The sequence below is a fragment of the Homo sapiens genome, chromosome 4 (genome assembly GCF_000001405.40).
Source record: "Homo sapiens chromosome 4, GRCh38.p14 Primary Assembly".
NCBI lineage: Eukaryota > Metazoa > Chordata > Mammalia > Primates > Hominidae > Homo > Homo sapiens.
This window is the reverse complement of record NC_000004.12, coordinates 130,042,700-130,069,621: the sequence shown is the minus strand read 5'-3', so window position 1 is coordinate 130,069,621 and position 26,922 is coordinate 130,042,700. Positions and strand designations below refer to the sequence as shown.

Genomic DNA, 26,922 nt, shown 5'->3' with positions numbered 1-26,922 from the left:
GGAAATCATCATTCTCAGTAAACTATCGCAAGAACAAAAAAACCAAACACTGCATATTCTCACTCATAGGTGGGAATTGAACAATGAGAACACATGGACACAGGAAGGGGAACATCACACTCTGGGGTGGGGTTCTGTTGTGGGGTGGGGGGAGGGGGGAGGGATAGCATTAGGAGATATACCTAATGCTAAATGACGAGTTAATGGGTGCAGCACACCAGCATGGCACATGTATACATATGTAACTAACCTGCACATTGTGCACATGTACCCTAAAACTTAAAGTATAATAATAATTTAAAAAAAGAAAAAAAAAGAAAAAAAAGAAAAAAGAATGATGTATACCCATGGTCAATTAATAAGCAATAATAGTCCCCCCAACATATCTTCTAATTCTTCTTATTCCAACATTCATACCTTGACTCTCTGAAGATATGCCATAAAAAATGTTGGTTTTCTGCCATGGGTCTAATTATTTATATTAAAGACTCAAAGGAATAAAGAGAGCTGAAAACAGAACTATAGCTAGCTATAAGGACCAATAAAACCTACACCTACTTACTAAATTCTGTAGCTGTTTTTGTAATAAAAGGTTTAGCTCTGTGCATCTAGCACATTGGTAAGTATATCAAATTCACATGTTAAACATGCAGCATCTTCCTAGAAAATATAGTTTCCTTGAAGATTTGGAAAACGAATGTGATGAATTGTGGAACTCTTAAAAGTGTGAAAGCAAAACCTACAGTTTACTATTTTTCCTTTGGCAGTTCATTCTCATGGTGTTTGATAAAGTTAAGAAAGCTGAAAACTTTTGTGCAGCAAAAAATTTGGTATTAGGCAATATGGCAGTATTCATTTTCTCACATTCAGAAGACCATATTATTGCCAAGAGATAAATTTACGCTAACATCACAGGTCTGCAGAGAAGACTAGCACTAATTTACCAGCAAGGGCAAGAGACACAGCATTCTGTAGAGTGTCCAAAACACCTACACAACCATCAGTTTTCTTAAAATTAGTTTGACACTGTACAAGTAAAATTTAGAGATGAATCTCTAAGCAAAAGGTTTTATTTGAAAACACATATAAAAACAGGATTGCAATTTAGCTTATAAACACTGACTAGGGTAGTCTTTGGTGTTCCAAAGAAAAAAGGAAAATTTGGGGCTTTACTGGAGAAGAGAAATGTTATGCAAATTGTTTTAAAAGCTCATTAGCACTAGTAAAGTTTTTTTGGGTTGTTGGCAAACTGATTGGTGAGTAGCAGTGGTAGGTAAACTAGTTTTAGAATCACAGAAGGTTGCTTTGGCAGCTACTATGTAAAACTGGTCTTAAGGTTACAGCAGGTCGTTTTGGCAGATAAGCTTGTGAGATAATCTCTGGAGCAGGTGTTTTGTGACCTTAGTGCTTCTTCTCCCTGGTCCCTCAACTATAATTTAGTTGGGTCTGAAAAAAATAACTCCAATTTGTAAAGTCAATTTTCACATTTTCCCCTTTTGTTCAAGATCTTTCTATGAAAATATCACTGATCAACCATCCTGAAGTTAGGTTTAATTGTCTCTTAATGCTGGGATATCCTAATTGTGTCTGGTCCCAAATTGAGAGCAAAGTATGGGAATCAGTGTTAGAAACCCAGGCCACATTTGTGGCCAGAAAGAAAACCTCTCAGGGCAGGCTTGCCTGGAGTCCAGCAGAGACTTCCAGCTTACCAGTCCCATATACATTAGCAATCATCTTGAAGTATTCTGCTAACATTATTCTTTTGTGAGGACTGGTTTTACAAAGATTAGACAGGCAAGAAAAATGGAGCTTAAAGATCTCAATGCAAAGAATGATCAGGAATAATATCATAAATTCCACTTTAAATAATTGTTCTCAACCATGAACCCAATTTTGAAGGTAATCAACTGAACAGATCAAAAAGTCCAGATGTATCTGCTGAAACTTTTTGGAGCCAAGTGGCTTGCTTGCTTATCTTGTGTAATTGCCGCTTTACTTCTCCAGAGGAATTTATCCATGTGCAGCAAACAGTGTTAGCAACTGCACAAATACTACCTTGTTTAGCTAATAAATAATCCAGAGCAATCCTGCTATCAAATGCCACTTTAGCAAAATAATCTAAGGAAGTATTTTTCAGCTGCAATAGCTTTAGCTGTGGAGTTGACTATGGACCAAATTGTTAAGGATAAATTTCTGATGATTGTTCCTAAGTGGCTAATTCTGATGCTAGGGAAAAAAGATTTAACAACTGAGGCCCATCTGCTAGATTTATGCCTCCTGACAAAGTGTCTCTTTTAAATATCACGATGTAACCTAAGAGGTAGGAACCAATAATGTTTAAATTTTGCTGATTTAAATTTAATACAGAAGTATTTCAAACCACATTGGTCTTTTAATTTTCCATTTCTTAAGATGTAATGTTGCCCAAACAGGTAGTTGACTTTTGAATCCCCCACAGATGAAAATGTATTCCAATGGAACACAAGAGGTAATTCCATAGGGACTACCTTGTGTATTAACAATTACTCATAAGGAGGTGTCAGCACCATTTTGCCAAGATTACATTACTGAACTATTGCATTGCTGGAGGCCATCAAAAATTAGAAGACCAGGGGAAGGAATAGTTTTGCAATCTGTTGAATTTCTTTTATCTTGAGTACTCTTACCATATTTTTCTTTATATAATATTAATCTAATTTTAAAGTCTTTTGTGTAGACCTTAGATACTGTTAGGGTAAAGCGTGAAATCTGCATATGTAAATCTCAAAACTTGATCTTATGAAAAGAACCAGATACACAATTTGAACAGTTCATTGGAAACATTAGTAAAATATGTTATGGGGTAAAATAAAGATTAACTTGCATAATGAACAGATGGGAAGTTGTGGTGACAAATCCAATAGCCAGTTGTGTGTCTCCCTTTGGCAATAGATTGGAAAATGTGAATTATAGCATTGTCTTTCCAGGAAAATAAAGGCATATAAGAAGAGACCAATTTTTTTTTTATATAAAAAAGAGTATATATCCTGGTCTGGACATGTTGGGAGGGAAGTCTACTTCAGATGTCATCTGCTTCAATTCTGGAAGAACTTTAGTTTTAAAACCCTTGTTGGAGTATTGGTCCAGTCAGGAGTGGGGGACTTTTAAAAATAAGATATGTAGATCCACAAGTCAGTGCCTTTGAGCTTTGCAGCAAAGGGATTGGTGAAAAGGGCTTGATATGGACTCTTCTAATAAGGCTGGTGAGAATCTTTATGTAGATATCTTTCCAGTAGACAAAGTCACCAGGTTGCACATCGTGGTGCTCTAGGTCTTTATCTCCTGAGTGCACCAAGAAAAGATTGTTCTGCCAAAGTACAATTTTTATCCATTGTCTAATAATGCTTTTGCAATATAGAAGTATATCTCCTTTTATTAACTGATGGTCAAAAGTAGAGAGAGACAAGTTCCTGTGATTATTTCAAAATGTGAATGTTTGCGAGCCTTAAAGGGAATGACTCTCCAATTTAATATCAAAAGAAGAATCTTAGATCAGGAAAGGTTAAGGTTTTCATATATTTTGCCAACTGGGTTTTTTGTTTGTTTGTTTGTTTGTTTGTTTTTGGAGTCTCACTCTGTCACCCAGGCTGGAGTGCAATGTCACGATCTAGGGTCACTGCAACCTCTGCCTCCCAGGTTCAAGAAATTCTCTGACTCAGCCTCCTGAGTAGTTGGGATTACAGGTGCCCACCACCATACCCGGCTAATTTTTGTATTTTTTTTTTTAAGTAGAGATGGGGTTTCACCATGTTGGCCAGGCTGGTCTCAAATTCCTGACCTCAGGCAATCCACCTGCCTCGACCTCCCTAAGTGTTGGGATTACAGGCGTGAGCCACCGTGCCTGGCCACCAACTAGGTTTTTATAGTTCCACTTATTTATTTTATAAAATCAGAAGCTTGGGGATAGTAGGCACACTGGAAATGCTGTAAAATTGGTCAAATTTAACATACCTACTGTATTAGTCCATTTTCACACTGCTATAAAGAATTGCCTGAGACTGGGTAATTTATAAAGAAAAGAGGTTTAATTTACTCATAGTTCTGCATTGCTGGGGAGATCTCAGGAAACTTACAAGCATGGTGGAAGATGAATGGGAAGCAGGCATCTAAAGCAGGCACACACACACACAAACACACACACACACACACACACACACACACACACACACAAAATACAGGCCAGGCACAGTGGCTCATGCCTGTAATCCCAGCACTTTGAGAGGCTGAGGTGGGTGGATCATGAGGTCAGAAGATCAAGACCATCCTGGCTAACATGGTGAAACCCCATCTCTGCTAAAAACACACAAAAAAATAGCCGGATGTGGTGGTGGGCACCTGTAGTCCCAGCTATTTGGGAGGCTAAGGCAGGAGAATGACGTGAACCTGGGAGGCGGAGCTTGCAGTGAGCCTAGATTGCACCACTGCACTCCAGCCTGGGTGACAGATCGAGACTCTGTCTCAAAAAAACAAAAGAAAACAAACAAACAAAATCAGCCTTCTTCACAAGGTGGAAGGAGAGAGAAAGAACAAGGGGGTAAGTACCACACTTTAAAACCATCAGATCTCATGAGAGCTCACTCACTATCAAAGGGCAGCATGGGAGAAACCGTCCACATGATCCAAACACCTCCCACCACGTCCCTCCCTCAGATTACAATCTGAGATGAGATCTGAGTGGAGACACAGAGTGAAACTATATAATCTACAATATTACATGACCAATAAAGTGGATTCCCTAGTTACTATAAAGAAAAAGGGAGTCCCCTACATGGGAATAATTTTCTCTAGAAGAATTTTGGCCATGGCTGAAGCAATGGCTTGTCTACAAGAAAAGGCTTCCACCCAATTGAAAAACATAGAGATTATACTAATATGTATGTATCCAAAGGAGACGCGTAGCTGGAAAAAGTCCATTTGCCAAATCTCAAATGACCCATTAGGTAAATTAAAATGTCCAGGAATGGTGTGTGTAGTATTTCTTGGACTAAACTTAGTACCACTAGTACAAGCCAAATAAGCACTTCTGGCAGACTTTTTAATGTCACCCCACCAATATCATTTCATAAAAGAAATAAATGTGTTAGTTGTCTATGAGTCAAATTATGAATTATAGTTAACAGTAGATAGCTCGATGAATCTGGGAAAATTGGTTTATTTTCATGTCCAAATCAGAGTTCTTTTTTAATCACAAAACTAGCTGCCATGATTCTCCCAATTATTTTCTAGTTTCTGGTACTCAATTTTGTGCATCTTTGAACCATCTTAATGTTCTTTTTGTGAGGCCATGACAAAGATTTGATCAATTGAAACTTTAAGAGCAGCATTACTAGCAGCATTATAGGCAAAGTAGTTTTCTCTAGCCTCCATAGAATCTTCTAACCCCCACTGAGTCCAATCTTAAATGTCCAAGAATTTTGACAATAGTCAAAACAGCTGGTACCTATGTGGCATCCAATAAGTCTTATACATAGGATCTATTTTTTATTTGACCTCCAATGAAAGTAAGATAGCACCTTTGCTTCCATAAAATCCTGAAATCATGAGCAACCAAGAAAGCATAACTACAGTCTGTGAATTCGTATTAGCAGATTTCCCTTTAGTAAGGAGGCAAGCCTGAGTAAGGGCATAAAGTTCAGCTTTGTGGGTAGAAGTAACAATAGCTAAGGGTGCAACCTCGATATCTTTAAACTAAGTAGCAATTGTATATTCTTCACCTTATTTACCAATGTCATCCTTTAAATATGCTCCATCTGTAAATCATGATAGTTCAGCATTGTCTAATAAAGCCTCTTATAAATCTTTATGCTGAGTTAAAAGATAGTCAGAGGCAAAAAGTAATAGGGATGGGTCCACACCAGAAGGAGGGGTAAAAAAAAGTAGAAGAATTAACATTGTTCTATTGAAAATGAGTTATGTAAGGAGCAGCTAGCCAAAAAAAAAAGTTTATAAGAGGTAAAATTACTGGCAAATAGGTGTTAAGTATGATGTGAATGTAGAAGAATTTAACAGCATGGAAAATAAAAAATGGTTGAAGGATATTCCATGACCATTTCTTCAGTGAAGTGACTAGTAGAGCAGTAGTTACAATAGTTCTCAAATGAGGAGGTAATTCTTGAGCTACTGAGTCTACTTGTTGGCTGTAATATCCAGTGGGACAGTGTTGATCTCCATGTTTTTCAGTTAGGACACTCAAGGCATTTTCTTTCTTTTCATAAACAAAAAGAAAAAAAGGGAGTTGATAATTAGAGACCCCCAGGGCAGAGGGATTTAAAAATCCCTCTTTAATCTAATAAATGCAATGTCTTTAGATTTTTTCCCTACAATGGGATCAGGCTTAGAAGCCTTGAGTAGGACATGCAGGGTTTTAGTAATCAAAAAAATTTGATATTCAGTTATGGCAGGGATTAGCAAGTCCAAGAAACCCTCAAAGTTGCCATTTAGTTTGGGGTTTATGGAACTGCGGGACACCTTGGATCTGTTCAGGGTTTAAATGTAGCCCTGTTTGAAAAATCAGATAACCCAGATGTTTAACTTGGGTTTTAACTAATAGTAACTTTTCTTTAGAAAACTATAATCTTTTATGGCTAGAAGTTTTCATAAACGCACACTGTCTTCCTCACAGGATACCTGTATGGGAGAGCAAAGAAGTTATCTGCATACTATAGTAAGGATGAGCCTTAGGGGAAAGTTACATATTCTAAATTAACTTTCAGAATTTGAGAAAGATTGGAAAGACTTTCAGTTTAGTATTGAGGCGTAATAGTCCAAGTATATTGTTGTCCTTCCCAAATGAAGGCAAATGGATATTGACTGGTTTGATCAAAAGGGATGCTAAGGAAAGCACCACAGAGGTAAATTTCAGTGGACAATTTACTATAAGTTGGTATTGAGGTCAACAAATTATGTGGATTTGGGACTATGGTATAGCATGATATAACAATATTATTTATCATTTATAAATAATATTATAAATTACAAATAACAAACAAATAAATTATAAATAACGGAAACCCTGAACAAATCTATACCTGTAAACATTAGATTTTCTCACTGGGAGAATGGGAGTGTAACAGAGACTGGTGCAAGGAATTTTTAAGCCTTGAGTTTTGTGTTCTTCAATGATGGGTCCTACTCCTTGTAAGGTACATTGGCCCAAAGGATTTTGTTTTGTATGAAGCAAGGGCTTTGTTCAATCAATTTGGATTTTAACCAGGGTGCACTATGGCTCTGTGTTGATGACGTGGCCCGTGAAAAGACAGGTACCTGTTTCGATAAAAAATTCTGGGAGCCAGCAGGAATATCTTTGGTGTTGGGACAATGTAACATATAAGCAGGGCATCAAAAGTAGAGTCCAGTGGATTGTTCTTATCAATTATTTTTTCTTTTTGGGAGAAAGAGATGCCAGCGTGATATTTTTCCAAAATGAGCTGGAGTAGATTCCGCCAGTAAGAAGAGATAGGTATCCTGTAATGGCTTAAGGTGAAAAGTAATAGGCTGGGACAGAAAAGCCATCAATGGTTCATCTAAAACTCCCCCATTTAAATATTTTCATTACTCCAAGGCAGGAGCTGGTTGAGGTTAGTGGAGTTGAACACCAATAGGGTTGCTCCTGTATCTATATAAACAGTCAGGACCTCATTGCCAATTTAGAGTGGTCTCCCCAAGGTGATTAAGTGGAAGAATTGGAGAAAGCTCCTGTATGTTCTCAAAGCCCCTCCATAGGGAAGGAGAAGCAGAAGGCTTAAGTGAAGAAGACTGTTTATAAACTTAAAACTGATTGCTTACGTTAACAGTTTTTCTTCCATTAGCCTTGGCTATTTACAATAATGACAGATGCCAAGAGGTGGCTTTTGTGGATTAAAGGTGTGTCATTTAGAGACCAAATTGTTTTCTCTGGGAGCATTCATGTTGCAATTGGAGGTTTAGGATTTTAGTAGTCTTCTTTTTATTAGTATTCTTTATGGTGCAAGCCAACTGATTTGCCAAATTAACAAATTCAGCAGGTGGTGTGGTCTCCCCCTCCATGTGAACTTTTTTTTTTTTAACTCACAGAGAAAGTTCTTGGTTGAGATCCTTGGCAAACATAGAGTAAAAGGTAAGTCTAGTATAGTCAACATCCATAGGTAGGCCAACGTTTTCTCTGAATATAACCAGGAGTCTCTTATAATAGTTATGAATTGGTTCATTTAGCTCTTGGGTATAAGCTTAAATTTTCCAATCTAAGGCTTTATAAAATGGATTGAGGATGGCACTCTATAAATTGAAAGTTGTTGAGCCAGTTTCTAATATTGTAGGTCTGATTCCGGGACTGGGCACAGATATTGCTAAATCCAGTTGGGGATGGGTCCAATTGGCTTTTGCTATTCAGTGTTGGGCCTGGCCTTCTCCCACAGCATGCAAATAAGTTGATAAAGACAAGAGAATTTGGGCTGGTAAGCCTGAACTGTAATGTTAAATTTATTGGTAACATAACGAGAGTCCTCCATAACCTTGGGAAATTCTTTGGCTATAGCACAGAGTTCTGTTTTACTCCAAAAGACATAGGACATCTGAAGAATCTCAGAATCAGTAGAAGTTAATCCTTATGGGGACAGGGTTTGTAGGTTGAGGTTGGGAAGCAGAAAGGGGAGAAGAAATAGGGCAAGAAATATCAGAGAACAAGGGAAGTTCAGAAGGTGAAGAGAGGAGAGACAGTAGGTGGCACCTAATAAACAGAAAGAATTTGAGTTCCTAAAGCCTTTCTTTCTCCATCCTTCATTTATTCCAGTTAACTTAGAGAAAGTATTTTGGGGCAAGGCAAATTTTGAATCTTGAATATATTATATGGACACCTCCAGATACCAATTAAGGTATACATTCAATTCGGAATGTTTGGTTTTATAGACTAAACTTCTCAGGTATTTCTGAGAAAAACAAGTTTAGGGAAGTCAAAAAAAAAATCAGGAATGTCATTGCAATTCCCAGTTGTCTTTAGTATAATCAGCCCATTGCAATAAGAAAGCACGTGCTGATGTGCCATAATGCTTAAGCATAAAACCAGCTGGAGTCCCTGATGGGGGGGTACAGGTGTGTATCTTGGCTTGCCTTCAAACATCAAGGGCCCATTTTCTGAATAAATTTATCTAGGCAATTTGATTTAACACAAAATACACAGAAGCCAAAATAAAAACCAAGAACACAAAATGAATAAAAGAATGAAGTATGTATTCACCAGGAAGAGGGACAAAGACTTCTTTAAAAGAAGGGAAGTCCTTCATAAACAGGAGTGGAAAAAACCCTCAGAAAATCTAATTTCAAATAAAACTGTACAACTCAGACAGCAGGACATGGGGTTTGGATCCGAGGTAGAGACTCACCAGGCAAAAAGGGTACACACCAAAGTGGGGCTCAAGGGGTCCATGTATTGGTACCTCACGCCATGGTTCTGGGGGCCATAGAATCTCTCCAGGCAAGTTCAATTCAGACTCCACTTATGACAATAAATATGTCAAAATCAAATAAACTGTAGAGACAAAACTCTGAGCAAATGTTTTCATTTGAAAATATATACAAAAATAGAATTGCAATTTGAGGGATAGGCACAAACTGGGATGCCCGAAGAATAAAGAATTTGGTGGTTGGGGTTTTATTGGGAAAAACATGTTACATAGAGTCATTTTGAAAGAAAGTTCATTGGCTTCAGTGTAGTTTTTCAGGAACTGGCAACCTCTGATTGGTGGGTGACAATGGTAGGTAAAACTAGTCTTAGGGTCAGAACATGTCATTTTGGCAGCTACTGGGTAAAACTGGACTTACTGTTATAGCAGATGGTTTCAGCAGCTGGGTTTATGAAACAGTTCCTGGAGCAGGTGCTTTGTACCTGAGTGATTTTTTCCCTGGTCCCTCAACTCAAATCTAATTGCATTAGACAAGAATAACTCCAATTCCTATAATCAATTTTCACGACACATAATGAATTTAAATTCTTATGATAATTCTACCTGATCGAATGTGTGTGTTGCTTTGTTCCATTTGTAAGTACACCTTACCTATCCATTAATGTATTCTGGGAAAGTGCTTCAGGAATTTCTTTGGGAAGTATATATGTCAGCTGACTTAGTACCTTAGAGTTGTTTTCTTTTTTTTTTTTAAATCAAGATTCTTGACCTTATCTCTTATTTTATTGTCACCACACCTCTTTATTGCATAGTTTTGCATATGGAATCAAAATTTGTCTTCATAGTGTACAATCACTGATTCTAGTTCACTTTCCAGACCAAATCAAAATAGCTAGGATCTTCTTTTATGGAATTATAATGACATCCTGAAAATGGAAAGGACTGTTAGCCCAACATCCCTGGTATTAAATTCTACTTCTGACATTTATTAATATGTGTAATGTCATCTGAATAACATTTTCCTCGAATTTTTAAAATTTTACTTTCTCATTCAAAGGGTCATTTTGAACATTATGAGAGGTAAAGTAGGTAAAAATACTAAGCATTTTTATCTCAGAGAAAAACAGATCTTGAAAATCCCTTTATATAATTTGAGTTTAGATCCTCACTTCTTTAGTCACCCCACTTTCAAACACTTAACAACTTCTCAATGACTCTTAAAATGTTGAACCCCAATTTGGGAAGCCGAGGTGGGTGCATCACTTGAGCTCAGGAGTTCAAGACCAGCGTGGGCAACATGGTGAAACCCCATCTCTACTAAAAAATAAAAATACAAAATACAAAATACAAAAAATAGCCAGGCATGGTGGTGTACATCTGTGGTCCCAGCTTTGGAGGCTAAGGTGGGACGATCACTTGAGCCTGGGAGGTGGAGGTTACAGTAAGCGGAGATCAGGCCATTGCAACCTAGCCAACGCAACAAAGTAAGTCCCTGTCTTAAAAAACAAAAAATGTTGAACCCAAAAATGCAGAGCATATTTCAATTATTTTCTGTAATCTGTATAGATATTTATAAGTTATATCATATTTAAAGTCAATTAAGAGAAAATATGTATGGAGTAGATATTTTAATCCTGAAAAGAAACCTCTTATAATTGAATTAACTTATAATTGAATTAAATAATTAAGCCCATAATAGAGCAACCTGTAGTACTATCAGATTTTAGCTTTCCTACTTGTGTTAGCAGTAAGATTTCTAATTAGTTATATAACTTAGTATTTATGTTTTAAGAATGGCAAACTTGTTTTAATAAATGTAGAAATATTGTCCTGAGTCTATAGTGAAAGCTAGAGACAGATTGTAGAAAAGAGAGGAGGCAATGCTAAAGGGAAGGAGAAATGCAAGTGAAGAATTGAACACTTGTCTGCATCAGTCACATCAGTGCCAGGGCAATAATAAGGAGAAATTGAAACAAACTACCTTATACTTCCCGTAGCTCCCTCAAGGAGTCTATACTTGACACACATTTGTTTGTGCTGCAGGGCTTAAGTAAAATTTATATGAGTCTGTTTAATGTTTTGGGGCATTAGTGACTTATAGGAAAGTGAAAGTATTTCATAATTCATGTAAGTCTATTTTACAAGAAGAAATACCTAAGTTCAAGAATTTGTTAGTTCAAGGATATCGAGGCATAAAAATAAAATGTGAGCAACTCAGAAAATAGACTGGAAATTAGATGTAAACATATCTGGAAACATCTGGGTGACTGACTCATAAACTGACCTAAATCACTTTCTGAGGTAGAAAAGTTATGAAGAGTTAACATTATCATGACATGTCAGTGGATGGATTCGTAAATAATAATGATAATATGCATCATTTGTTCAGGACTCCTTTAGGTAAGATGGAGCTATTATTTAAATTTTAAAGCCAGACATGCCTTTAAAATGGAAGATTCCATATTCCAGGATCTGTATGAACAAGCCATTTCAATGAAACAAAACTGGTTTATCTATGGTTAAACAAATTCCTCAAATCCCAAAATAACCTACACATGGACCTAACTATCGGGGAACCTGCCCCGATAGTCACGTAGGTTCTTTTCTCTTTTCCCTAAGTGTAGGCGGGTTTGAGAAATAAAGGGACAGAATACAAAAGAGAGAAATTTTAAAGCTGGGTGTCTGGGGGAGACATCACGTATCAGTAGGTTCCGTGATGCCCCATAAGCCGTAAAACCAGTAAGTTTTTATTAAGGAGTTTCAAAAGGGGAGGGAGTATACGAATAGAGTGTGGGTCACAGACATCACATACTTCATAAGGTAATAGAATATCACAAGGTAAATGGAGGCAGGGCGAGATCACAAGACCACAGGACCAGGGCGGCGAAATTAAAATTGCTAATGAAGTTTCGGGCACGATTGTCATTGATAACATCTTATCAGGAGACAGGGTTTTGAGAGCAACTGGTCTGACAAAATTTATTAGGCGGGAATTTCTTCTCCCTAATAAGCCTGGGAGGGCTATGGGATACTGGGGTCTATTTCACCCCTACAGTCTACAGATCATAAAACATGGCCACACCCTGGGGACCGTCTATAGACCTACCCCCAGGCATGTATTCTCTTTCCCAGGGATGTTCCTTGCTGAGAAAAAGAATTCAGTGATATTTCTCCCATTTGCTTTTGAAAGAAGAGAAATATGGCTCTGTTCCGCCCGGCTCACTGGCAGTCAGAGTTTAGGTTTATCTCTCTTATTCCCTGAACAATTGCTGTTATCCTGTTCTTTTTTCAAGGTGCCCAGATTTCATATTGTTTAAACACACATGCTCTACAATTTGCGCAGTTAACGCAATTATCACATGGTCCTGAGGCGACATACATCCTCCTCGGCTTACGAGATGGCAGAATTAAGAGATTAAAGTAAAGACAGGCCTAGGAAATCACAAGGGTATTGATTGGGAAAGTGATAAGTGTCCATGAAATCTTCACAATTTATGTTTAGAGATTGCAGTAAAGACAGGCATAAGAAATTATAAAAGTATTAATTTGGGGAACCAATAAATTGTTCATGAAATCTTCACAATCCACGTTCTTCTGCCATGGCTTCAGCCGGTCCCTCCATTTGGGGTCCCTGACTTCCCACAACACCTAACTTCATAAGTGAAACTGGCACAAAAATGGAAGCAGATAAGCAATTAACTTCTTGTGGTTTTAGAGTGCATCAGTGAAGGCATACTTCTGAAAAACAGGCTGCCAGCCTCAGTGTAGGGTGGCTATTTTGGCATGGACAGATCCATTAACTAAATAATTAAAAGAGCACTTGGCCCTGATATCCTGAACAGATTCCAGCTGGGTTATTATATACACTTATTGCCATTTTAATCTGCCCTGAAATTTCAACTGGGCTCAAAGTTTTCCTTAATCCTCTATCCTAAAATAGTATTTGTTGAATATAGGGTGTTTTTCTTCTACTACTGTTTGTGCCCAATTGTCTGGCATTATTCCCACAAATTACAAGCAAAGTTCACTTTGTAGTTTTCAGTGAGAACATTAAAACAGAACCTAATCTGAAGAAAAATATGGTGACAAAATGTGTTCAATTTCAATGAGTCTCAATGGGACTGTAGGAAACTAAAAAAATTAATATTATAAAATACAGTTGATAAGCTAGGTTAACTATGGAAATGGATTCCCACATGAGGACTTGAACACATACTAGATGTCTGTATTACTTTATATATAGCTGCACAGAAAAGTCACTAATGCAGAATTACTGTCACAGGCTATTTCACAACATTTGATAATTTTTAAAAAATAATTTTTATTATGGGATGGCCTGCACTCTACAATTTTAGATTTTCTTTTACAGTTTCCACAGAGTAAAATCATAAAATAATATGGATATATACATACATACATACATACATATTGCAATATGTATGTGGTATTAATTTCTCAGTTCTCCTTTATAAAGTGAGAACCTAGAAATTAGGCTTTCACTTTACAATGAAAATATCCAAAGTTGTTACATTTGTCCTTTCACCTGTATGAACATATCCCACTTTGTCAATAACCCCTCAACAAATAATGTACTTTAAAATAAGAATCCATTGTAAATAATTAGACATTTTGTTTATTCAACGTCGATACTTGATCCTGAAGAAAATTTAGATAATTTTCGGAAATATTGCTTAAGATGGCCATGTCTATAGATATAGATATACACATACATATATATTAAATGCATTTAAAATAATTAAATTTAAATTTTAATGTTGATTATATTCTATAACATCATATAATGTCAGATGAGGAAGTAATGCGTCAAATTTGCATAGAAGATATGCTTTCAAAATTTGATATAAAGTTAGAAGAAGTACTAAACACATTGGTTCATGATAATAATGTACATTTACAGTAATGTTTCAGAATGTTTACCACTGTTTTTACTGTATCATATGAAAACTACACTAAGTGTAAAAAACATGTTTGAAATATAAGCTCACTAAAATATATCAAATTCACTTGTGGGATGGGGATATGGGAATGAGGAAAGGCTCAAAGGGCATATAAAGTATACTTTGAGTGCATGCAGCTGCTGCTACCACACACATGCACGACTTTATGATGAATGCTCAGGGTGAATGCAAAAGGAAGTTGTATATTTAATCACAGCTATTTACTGTCTTAAGAATACATAGGAGTCTGCCTAGTCATTGTTAATTTCATCTGAAATATGAACTTTTGATTTCAGCAAGATCCTAGAAAGTTTTGATTACCCTTGATATTTGTCCAGTGAGTATATTGTGGGTTGGGTTGACATTGACATGCAGTGTGCATTGTAGGTACCCAATACATATGGGATAATTTAGCATAACTATTAAATAATTTCCAAGTATGCATTACTGAAATGACCTGGGAATTAATGTTGCAGGGGACTCAAATGGGAATTTTAAAATACTCTTCTTTTAGGTCCTAATGATCTGACAACACTGCCTGAAAGACACGAGGGATTAGAAATCTGAATTGGGAACCTGATCTTTTTTCTTTAAATGACCTATGGATATAAGGCTAGGGCAGAAATCAGCCTGCAGGACATATTTGGGGGCATGAAATATCCCTCAAAGATTCCACAAATACCAAACTTTTGATAAATTTTAATTATCAAATTTCCATAATGCCTAATTCATGTTATGGTTATGATTAGGGTAACTTTGATTTTTTAACATAATAATAAGCTTTAACTTCCCACGGATAAATATATAAGATAGACATTTTCCCACTATCAGTAAATATAAAATACTTCTGGTCATCAATTACTGACCAGAGCATTTTATATTTATTTGATATAATTAAAGAAAATAATTTCATAGCAAAGATTGGCTGATCTTTAAAATCACCTTTCATTGGCTTCATTTGGCAAGAATTATGAATATGTGGTCACAAAGGAAAGTTTATTTACAGAAAGCTTGCCTCTGGAGTTACCTGCACAAATACAGCCTTGAAAAAAACATCTGTGGAAGGCAGGACTCATTTGGTTCCTAATAAAAGTTACCCTTGGGAAGGTTACTCAGTCTACCCAATCTTTCACTGCCACTGCATACTTTAGAAGGAAGAAAACAAGAACATCAAAGTCTTACTATTTTATATATAACTTTGTCAGTTACCAATTTAAGACCTTTTTAAAAATGCACAGTCAGCAATATAGTTGCAAAAGGTAAAAGGAACTTGAAGTCAACCCCCACTGTGCATGCGACCTCTGTGCTGACTATGGACTGTGAGCTGTTTGAAGAGAAACACTGGAAACAAAGAGCAGAGGAAACACAGAAAGGCATACACGCCTCATAGACAGCTTTCATCTGTTCTTCTCAATTGCAGTCATTGAAGGAAGTGGGAGGTGCAATGTGTCCTGAATAGTTTGGTTTGTATTTGACAACACAGGGGAGAAATATACAAAGCTCATACATGTCCACCAACCCTCAAACAGAGCAATTAAAGCAACCTGGTTCAAATTTGATTTCAAACGTGTTCAAAATTTGAGTAACTATTTTTGTATTTTATTTTTTTGTATACAGAAAATAATGTAGGTAGGATCATCTTTACAAAGAGAATAAACAGATTGCTGTGAAAAAAACATAGTGTCATAATTTCATCTCTCATTCATAGAAAAATATTTTTCATTAATATAGATTCTTTTGGCCTGGCATGGTGGCTCACGCCTGTAATCCTAGCACTTTCGGATGCCAAAGTGGGCGGATCACCTGAGGTCGGGAGTTTGAGACCAGCCTGACCAACATGCAGAAACCCTGTCTCCACTAAAAATACAAAATTAACCTGTCATGCCTGTAATCCCAGCTACTGGGGAAACCGAGGCAGGAGAATCACTTGAACCTGGGAGGTAGAGGTCTAGTGAGCCGAGATCACACCATTGCACGCCAGCCTGGGCAACAAGAGCGAAACTCTGTCTCAAAAAAAGTTTCTTTTCAGGTAATCAGCTTCAGGGAAAGATGCAAGAATTAGTGAGGAAGGCACTAAGTCCAACCTGGCAATCAGTGTGGTGACAGATGTCACCCAGAGCAGGCTCAAGCCCAGAACCCACATCTGCTAGTTTACACTTGAAGATGATTTCTCTAAACACAGGATATGTTTTGTTAATTGATAATCTGATTTGTTTGCATTGTCATATTGAAGAAGAAATAACTTAAAATTAACAGGAAAAAGGCACTGAAAAAACAAAGTTTAGATTAATATTTAATCTTAATAGAAGAAAAATCCATTTATATTTTCATGGCAAATTATGAACTAATTGCAGAATCTCCTGTTAAGGAATTCTATTAAAATAATTAGTAATGTTGAAGAAAACTAGTTACTCTGCTTTCAAATTTGTTTTTCCTACTTTCCAATAACTGACATTCTGTCAACCTATCACATTTCAGTCTCCAGCAGCTTTGAACAAAAAAGTCCAGAGAGAGTCTAGTAATTTTTATTTTCTCAATTCAGTTCAATAAAAATGTATTAAATATCTGCTATGTCACAGATACCATGTCAGAAAATATTGTAACATAATGAAAAACAAATGATTCTAGCTCCCAATGATACAAGCTTAATCCTAGGGAAAGGCAAGGATAGAGAAAAAGACTCAAAAACATGAGTTTAATACAAAACTTGGGTTCCCTAGGAACTGGGCCATGCCCAGTTCCTCGTTGTGAATCACAGGGCCAATCTTAGCTTCTGGAACACAATAAATGCTCAACAAGCATTTATAGGATGAATGCAAAAAAAAATTGTGGTTATTAGAGACTGGAAAGGGTGGGAGAGAAGGGAGCATAGGGAGAGGTTAGTTAAAAGATAGAAAATTATACCGGGTGGAGCCAAGATGGCCGAATAAGAACAGCTCCAGTCTGCAGCTCCCAGCGTGAGTGACGCAGAAGACCAATGATTTCTGCATTTCCAACTGAGGTACCGGGTTCATCTCACTGGGGATTGTCAGACAGTGGGTGCAGGACAGTGGGTGCAGTGCACCGAGCGTGAACCGAAGCAGGGCGAGGCATCGCCTCACCCGGAAGTGCAAGGGGTCAGGGAATTAACTTTCCTAGCGAAGGAAAGGGGTGACAGACGTCACCTGGAAAAACGGGTCACTCTCACCCTAATACTGCAGTTTTCCAATGGTCTTAGCAAAAGGCACACCAGGAGATTGTGTCCCATGCCTGACTCAAAGGGTCCTACGCCCACGGAGCCTTGCTCATTGCTAGCACAGCAGTCTGAGATCAAACTGCAAGGCAGCAGTGAGGCTGGGGGAGGGGCACCCGCCATTGCCGAGGCTTGAGTAGGTAAACAAAGCGGCTGGGAAGCTTGAACTGGGTGGAGCCCACTGCAGCTCAAGGAGGCCTGCCTGCCTCAGTAGACTCCACCTCTGGGGGCAGGGCATAGCCAAACAAAAGGCAGCAGAAACCTCTGCAGACTTAAATGTCCCTGTCTGACAGCTTTGAAGAGAGTAGTGGTTCTCCCAGCACGCAGCTGGAGATCTGAGAATGGACAGACTGCCTCCTCAAGTGGGTCCCTGACCCCTGAGTAGCCTAACTGGGAGGCACCCCCCAGTAAGGGCAGACTGGCACCTCACACAGCCAGGTACTCCTCTGAAACAAAACTTCCAGAGGAACGATCAGGCAGCAACATTTGCTACTCACCAATATCCTCTGTTCTACAGCCTCTGCTGCTGATACCCGGGCAAACAGGGTATGGAGTGGACCTCCAGTAAACTCCAACAGACCTGCAGCTGAGGGTCCCAACTGTTAGAAGGAAAACTAACAGAAAGGACATCCACACTGAAACCCCATCTGTACGTCACCATCATCAAAGACCAAAGGTAGATAAAACCACAAAGATGGGGAAAAAACAGAGCAGAAAAACTGAAAATTCTAAAAATCAGAGTGCCTCTCCTCCTCCAAAGGAACACAGCTCCTCACCAGTGACAGAACAAAGTTGGACGGAGAATGACTTTGACGAGTTGAGAGAAGAAGGCTTCAGATGATCAAACTACTCCGAGCTAAAGGAGGAAGTTTGAACCCATGGCAAAGAAGTTAAAAACCTTGAAAAAAAATTAGATGAATAGCTAACTAGAATAACCAATGCAGAGAAGTCCTCAAAGGACCTGATGGAGCTGAAAACCACGGCACGAGAACTACATGATGAATGCACAAGCCTCAGTAGCCAATTTTATCAACTGGAAGAAAAGCTATCAGTGATGGAAGATGAAATGAATGAAATGAAGTGAGAAGAGAAGTTTAGAGAAAAAAGAATAAAAAGATACGAACTAATCCTCCAAGAAACATGGGACTACATAAAAAGACCAAATATACATCTGATTGGTGTACCTGAAAGTGACGGGGAGAATGGAACCAAGTTGGAAAACACTCTGCAAGATATTATCCAGGAGAACTTCCCCAATCTAGCAAGGCAGGCCAACATTCACATTCAGGAAATACAGAGAACGCCACAAAGATACTCCTTGAGAAGAGCAACTCCAAGACACATAATTGTCAGATTCACCAGAGTTGAAATGAAGGAAAAAATGTTAAGGGCAGCTAGAGAGAAAGGTCGGGTAACCCACAAAGGGAAGCCCATCAGACTAACAGCGGATGTCTCAGCAGAAACTCTACAAGCCAGAAGAGACTGGGGGTCAATATTCAACATTCTTAAAGAACAGAATTTTCAACTCAGAATTTCATATCCAGCCAAACTAAGCTTCATAAGTGAAGGAGGAATAAAATACTTTATAGACAAGCAAATGCTGAGAGATTTTGTCACCACCAGGACTGCCCTAAAAGAGCTCCTGAAGGAAGCACTAAATATGGAAAGGAATAACCAGTACCAGCCACTGCAAAAACATGCCAAATTGTAAAGACCATCAAGGGTAGGAAGAAACTGCATCAACTAATGAGCAAAATCATCAGCGAACATCATAGTGACAGGATCAAATTCACACATAACAATATTAACCCTAAATGTAAATGGGCTAAATGCTCCAATTAAAAGACACAGGCTGGCAAATTGGATAAAGAGTCAAGACCCATCAGTGTGCTGTATTCAGGAAACCCATCTCACATGCAGAGACACACATAGGCTCAAAATAAAAGGATGGAGGAAGATCTACCAAGCAAATGGAAAACAAAAAAAGGCAGGGGTTGCAATCCTAGTCTCTGATAAAACAGACTTTAAACCAACAAAGATCAAAAGAGACAAAGAAGGCCATTACATAATGGTAAAGGGATCAATTCAACAAGAAGAGCTAACTATCCTAAATATATATGCACCCAATACAGGAGCACCCAGATTCATAAAGCAAGTCCTTAGAGATCTACAAAGAGACTTAGACTCCCACACAATAATAATGGGAGACTTTAACACCCCACTATCAACATTAGACAGATCAAGAAGACAGAAAGTTAACAAGGATATCCAGGAATTGAACTCAACTCTGTGCCAAGTGGACCTCATAGACATCTACAGAACTCTCCACCCCAAATCAATAGAATATACATTCTTCTCAGCACCACATTGCACTTATTCCAAAATTGACCACATAGTTGGAAGTAAAGCACTCCTCAGCAAATGTAAAACAACAGAAATTATAAGAAACTGTCTCTCAGACCACAGTGCAATCAAACTAGAACTCAGGATTAAGAAACTCACTCAAAACCGCTCAACTACATGGAAACTGAACAACCTGCTCCTGAATGACTACTGGGTACATAACGAAATGAAGGCAGAAATAAAGATGTTCTTTGAAACCAACGAGAACAAAGACACAATATGCCAGAATCTCTGGGACACATTCAAAGCAGTGTGTAGAGGGAAATTTATAGCCCTAAATGCCTACAAGAGAAAGCAGGAAAGATCTAAAATTGACACCCTAACATCACAATTAAAAGAACTAGAAAAGCAAGAGTAAACACATTCAAAAGCTAGCAGAAGGCAAGAAATAACTAAGATCAGAGCAGAACTGAAGGAAATAGAGGCACAAAAAACCCTTCAAAAAAATCAATGAATCCAGGAGCTGGTTTTTTGAAAAGATCAACAAAATTGACAGACCGCTAGCAAGACTAATAAAGAAGAAAAGAGAGAAGAATCAAATAGATGCAATAAAAAACGATAAAGGGGATATCACCACCGATCCCACAGAAATACAAACTACCATTAGAGAATATTATAAACACCTCTATGCAAATAAACTAGAAAATCTAGAAGAAATGGATAAATACCTTGACGCATACACACTCCGAAGACTAAACCAGGAAGAAGCTGAATCCCTGAATAGATGAATAACAGGCTCTGAAATTGAGGCAATAATTAATAGCTTACCAACCAAAAAATCCAGGACCAGATGGATTCACAGCCGAATTCTACCAGAGGTACAAGAAGGAGCTGGTACCATTCCTTATGAAACTATTCCAATCAATAGAAAAAGAGGGAATCCTCCCTAACTCATTTTATGAGGCCGGCATCATCCTGATACCAAAGCCTGGCAGAGACACAACACAAAAAGAGAATTTTAGCCCAATATCCCTGATGAACATCGATGCAAAAATCCTCAATAAAATACTGGCAAACCGAATCCAGCAGCACATTAAAAAGCTTATCGACCATGATCAAGTGGGCTTCATCCCTGGGATGCAAGGCTGGTTCAACATATGCAAATCATTAAATGTAATCCAGCATATAAAAGAACCAACAACAAAAACCACATGATTATCTCAATAAATGCAGAAAATGCCTTTGACAAAATTCAACAGCCTTTCCTACTAAAAACTCTCAATAAATTAGGTATTGATGGGACGTATCTCAAAATAATAAGAGCTATCTATGACAAACCCACAGCCAATATCATACTGAATGCACTGAATGGGCAGAAACTGGAAGCATTCCCTTTGAAAACTGGCACAAGACAGGGATGCCCTCTCTCACCACTCCTATTCAACATAGTGTTGGAAGTCCTGGCCAGGGCAGTCGGGCAGGAGAAGGAAATAAAGGGCATTCAATTAGGAAAAGAGGAAGTCAAATTGTCCCTGTTTGCAGATGACATGATTGTATATCAAGAAAACCCCATCATCTCAGCCCAAAATCTCCTTAAGCTGATAAGCAACTTCAGCAAAGTCTCAGGATACAAAATCAATGTGCAAAAATCACAAGCATACTTATACACCAATAACAGACAAACAGAGAGCCAAATCATGAGTGAACTCCCATTCACAATTGCTTCAAAGAGAATAAAATACCTAGGAATCCAACTTACAAGGGACGTGAAGAACTTCTTCAAGGAGAACTACAAATCACTGCTCAACGAAATAAAAGAGGATACAAACAAATGGAAGAACATTCCATGCTCATGGGTAGGAAGAATCAATATCATGAAAATGGCCATACTTCCCAAGGTAATTTATAGATTCAGTGCCATTCCCATGAAGCTACCAATGACTTTCTCCACAGAATTGGAAAAAACTAAAGTTCATATGGAACCAAAAAAGAGGCTGCATTGCCAAGTCAATCCTAAGTCAAAAGAACAAAGCTGGAGGCATCACACTACCTGACTTCAAACTATACTACAAGTCTACAGTAACCAAAACGGGATGGTACTGGTACCAAAACAGAGATATAGATCAATGGAACAGAACAGAGCCCTCTGAAATAATGCTGCATATCTACAACCATCTGATCTTTGACAAACCTGACAAAAACAAGAAGTGGGGAAATGATTCCCTATTTAATAAATGGTGGTGGGAAAACTGGCTAGCCATATGTAGAAAGCTGAAACTGGATTCCTTCCTTACACCTTATACAAAAATTAATTCAAGATGGATTAAAGACTTAAATGTTAGACCTAAAACCATAAAAACCCTAGAAGAAAACCTAGGCAATACCATTCAGGACATAGGCATGGGCAAGGACTTCATGTCTAAAACACCAAAAGCAATGGCAACAAAAGCCAAAATTGACAAATGGGATCTAATTAAACTAAAGACCTTCTGCACAGCACAAGAAACTACCATCAGAGTGAACAGGCAACCTACAACATGGGAGAAAATTGTTGCAATCTACTCATCTGACAAACGGCTAATATCCAGAATCTACAATGAACTCAAACAAATTTACAAGAAAAAACAAACAACCCCATCAACAAGTGGGTGAAGGATATGAACAGACACTTCTCAAAAGAAGACATTTATGCAGCCAAAAGACACATGAAAAAATGCTCATCATCACTGGCCATCAGATAAATGCAAATCAAAACCACAACGAGATACCATCTCACACCAGTTAGAATGGTGATCATTAAAAAGTCAGGAAACAACAGGTGCTAGACAGGATGTGGAGAAACAGGAACACTTTTACACTGTTGGTGGGACTATAAACTAGTTCAACCATTGTGGAAGTCAGTGTGGCGATTCCTCAGGGATCTAGAACTAGAAATACCATTTGACCCAGCCATCCCATTACTGGGTATATACCCAAAGGATTATAAATCATGCTGCTATAAAGACACATGCACACGTATATTTATTGTGGTACTATTCACAGTAGCAAAGACTTGAAACCAACCCAAAGGTCCATCAGTGACAGACTGGATTAAGAAAATGTGGCACATATACACCATGGAATACTAGGCAGCCATAAAAAATGATGAGTTCATGTCCTTTGCAGGGACATGGATGAAGCTGGAAACCATCATTAGCAAACTATCACAACGACAAAAAACCATACACCACATGTTCTCACTCATAGGTGGGAATTGAACAATGAGAACACATGGACACAGGAAGGGGAACATCACACACTGGGGCCTGTTGTGGGGTGAGGGGAGTGGGGAGGGATAGCATTAGGAGATATTCCTAATGTTAAATGACGAGTTAATGGGTGCAGCACACCAACATGGCACATGTATACATATGTAACTAACCTGCACATTGTGCACATGTACCCTAAAACTTAAAGTATAATTAAAAAAAGGAAAATTATATAGAAGAAATAGAAGTTCTAGTGATCTATAGCACTGTAGGGTGACCATAGTTAATAATTTATTATATATCTTTAAATAGCTAAAGTAGAGAATTTTGAATGTTGCAAAACAAAGATATAAAGACTTGAGGTGATGCATGTGCTAATTACTCTGATTTGATCATTACACATGACACACATTTATCTAAATATCTTAAATATCTAAATATTTATCTAAATATCTGTACCCCATATATAGTACAAGTATTACATGTGTGAAAAAACAGTGCAATGTTTTGGCCATAGTAATGAGTATGATGTGCTATAGCCGAATAGAAAAGAGACTTTCAGTGTGGCCTGAGGAGACCCTGGGAGGTACTCACTTGTTCTTCTCTCTGTCTCTCCGAACACACACACACACACACACACACACACACACCTCTCACAAACTTTACAGAAACTTTAATGGAGTGTTCAACTTCAGTTTGCAAAGATTCCTGCATAATTTTAAATTTATTGTTTTAAGTGCTGATTTTTTTTGGTACGTCTTGAGTCTGAATATTTAGTAGTTTCAGTAGTCCTCTGTTTAGGGTGGGTAACATGGCTGTGTTGTGAGTGCCTGTTCTGGTCCTGGGTGGGTTTGCCCACAAATCATTCCTCACTGGCTCCTGTTCTGCTCTGCTCTGTAGTATGGAGTGGATGATGTTGAGTCTGAATGTCCCAGGTTCTGAGATCAGTGGGCTTCAGCAGGATTCAATCTATGGGAGGCACTGGTGAGGGACTGGGTGGTGGAAGAAAAGAGAAACTAGAGCATATCTCTTTCTCCCACAGTGCCTGTGTTCTTCTATCCTGCCTCTCTCTGGGCAACTCAGGCTCCTGAGTTACAGTTGCTTTGCATCTCTAATAGGCACTTTCTGCTGTGGCTGACCCCTGGGTTGCTTCAATGTCTCTTTTTCTGTTTGGCTTCTCAACTATTCTATCACCATGTAAACAATCTCTTGCATAAAATTCATTGAGTTTTAAATACCCAGGGTAATTTTTGTATTAATACTTAATACAAATTGTGCTTATTGTTTTACATGTATTCTTTTATTCAATTGTTTCAAGAACTCTAGACTGTCAGTGTGACTATTTTCCTAGTTTTGCAGACAAAGCAACTGAAGCTTACAGAGTTAATGTGACTCATTCGAGGCTACTTTATAAATAGCTAGCAGAACCAGGACTTATACCCAGCCTTTAACTACACTAACACTGCTTGTCGTGGGTACTATTTGTATATTGCCTCAGAGCTAGGCATCATTTCATACTAGTGCCAGCTTCCTTGCCTTTTAGCTATAGTCTACATTTGTTACTTGCTACTTTAAATATTATGCATTCTGGGAAATCGTACAATTAAACTTGCTAGAACTGAATCTACAATGTGGGGCTATGCAATCCATGTGAGGGCATAGAACGCCTATGAACACATTATTTAGGCTTTAATTTATGAACAACATGGGAACTGTTTTAGTTTATAAAAGCTTTTTATTGCTTTCTGATTCTCTGCAGTGTTCTAAAGTGTAAAGTTTGTTTGATACCTGAGTTCTAGTGTCCAAATTATTTCTACACATGTAGGAACCCTGCTAAATTGTGATATCCTTGAAGACAAAAATTGCACCTTATCAATCTCTGCATTCACAGTGCATAGTCCAAGATCCAAGTAGTCAGAGACACTCAATAAATGTGATTTGTAACGGTAATTGAATGAGTATATGTGTAAGTGGATGTGTATAAGTGATATATGTGTGAAACATTCTAAAATAAGTATGTGTTTAAGTACCTCTAAAATACACGCCCTCAGATTATCCAGAATAAACCAGCAGTAGCTGCACAAATTATTTCATATTGACGTTTGCAGGTAGAAAGTGATTTACTAATCCATTCCTTAAATAGAATAAATAAACTCAGAGGTGGTAATACAATGATCATATTTTAATTGAGAGTTACTATTCCATTGGTTAATAGTCAATTTAAATTTCTGGTCTTGCATGGAATGCTAAATACACAGGTGCCTCTAGAATCTGCTAAAACCTCCCCAAAAATGACAGTGAAGAGGTTAAAAAAACTATTGCAAATCCACAAGGGAAAAAACAACAAGACAGAACAAACAAGAGCTGTTAACTACATCTTGTAAGTTAAAAAGTTAATAGACAACTAGACTAGTTACGTGAGCAAAACTGAAAACCACAAAGAGACAGAATTAAAGTAGGCTGATTCACTGTGCAGAATAGAAGGAAGGCTCAGGGTTTGGAAAAGTCAGATATCTCACAAGGCAGGAAGTGTGTCTGGAACTGATTATAGGAAAGATTGTTGGAAAGTTTGTATGGCAAGCAGTTACATCTTCAGATGTCTCCCCTCAAGACAGATAAACAAGCACTTACTCACTTTCTACTTTGATAAAAGACTAGAGTTTACTCCCTGGAAATAGTGAATCACACAATTTCTGATCTTAAAGATTCTCAGTATTATTATTATTATTTTTGAGACAGCATCTCTCTCTGTCACCCAGGCTGGAGTGCAGTGGTGTGATCTCGGCTCACTGCAACCTCTGCCACCCTGTTCAAGCTATTTTACTGCCTTAGCCTCCCGAGTAGCTGGGACTACAGGCACGTGCCACCACGCCTGGCTAATTTTTGTATTTTTAGTAGAAACAGGGTTTTGCCATGTTGTCCAGGCTGGTCTCAAACTCCTGACCTCAGGCAATCCACCTACCTCGGTGTCCCAAAGTGTTGGGATTACAGACGTGTGCCACCGTGCCTGGCCAATGCTCAGTATTATTGAAGGTAGTGGTAAATATTTTCATCCAGAGAATATTAAAATGTAGTGCTAAATTGTGAGCCCTCACATTATATGGCCCTCCCCAGAACCTCTGGGGAGTGAAGAGACAGGCCTACACAGGTGGTAGGAATTTGGACTCGTCCCCTTTTATGCGTGATCTGCCCAAGAGAAAAGCCCATGAGAAACTGACAGGTAAAGTTTTCCTAATAAAAAAGCCAGATTCCTCTCTGCTTACCTTTGCAGGGAGACCAATCAGTCAACAAACACTACCTATTCACATAGATCTTTCAAAAACCAATTTAGTGTTTCAATAGTAAATATAAATAAACCGTAAAAAATGCCCTGAGGAAAGCCACTTACATAAATCATTAAGACCAAAACACACACACACAAACCAAACTTAAAAGTTATGCAAAGAGCAAAAGAAAAGAAAAAAGTTGAAGAGTTCTAGATTTAACAACTTAGATGTTGAGACACTAAAACAAAATCAGGATGCTATAAAAGGAATGTTCAGAAAGTAAATAAAATACTCTTGAAACAAAACTATGATAGAAATGTATTTTTAAAAGCTCTCTATGGAGGAACTGAATAAAAAATCTTCTCCAAAACCCCCACAAAAAATGACATAAAAATATAAGGAAAAAAAACTAACATTAGATGATCAACTCAAGAAATTCATATCCTGAATAGGAATTCC

At 37.9% G+C, this 26,922-nt stretch overlaps 1 annotated feature.

Annotated features, from left to right (window-relative positions):
- Positions 16,762-17,961: an enhancer, noted in NCBI's record as "MED14-independent group 3 enhancer chr4:130972816-130974015 (GRCh37/hg19 assembly coordinates)". NCBI's record gives its function as "activates an origin of replication core promoter dependent on BRD2, BRD4, P300/CBP and CDK7 cofactors, and independent of MED14, by STARR-seq in HCT116 cells {active_cell/tissue: HCT116}" and the evidence as "EXISTENCE:reporter gene assay evidence [ECO:0000049][PMID:35650434]".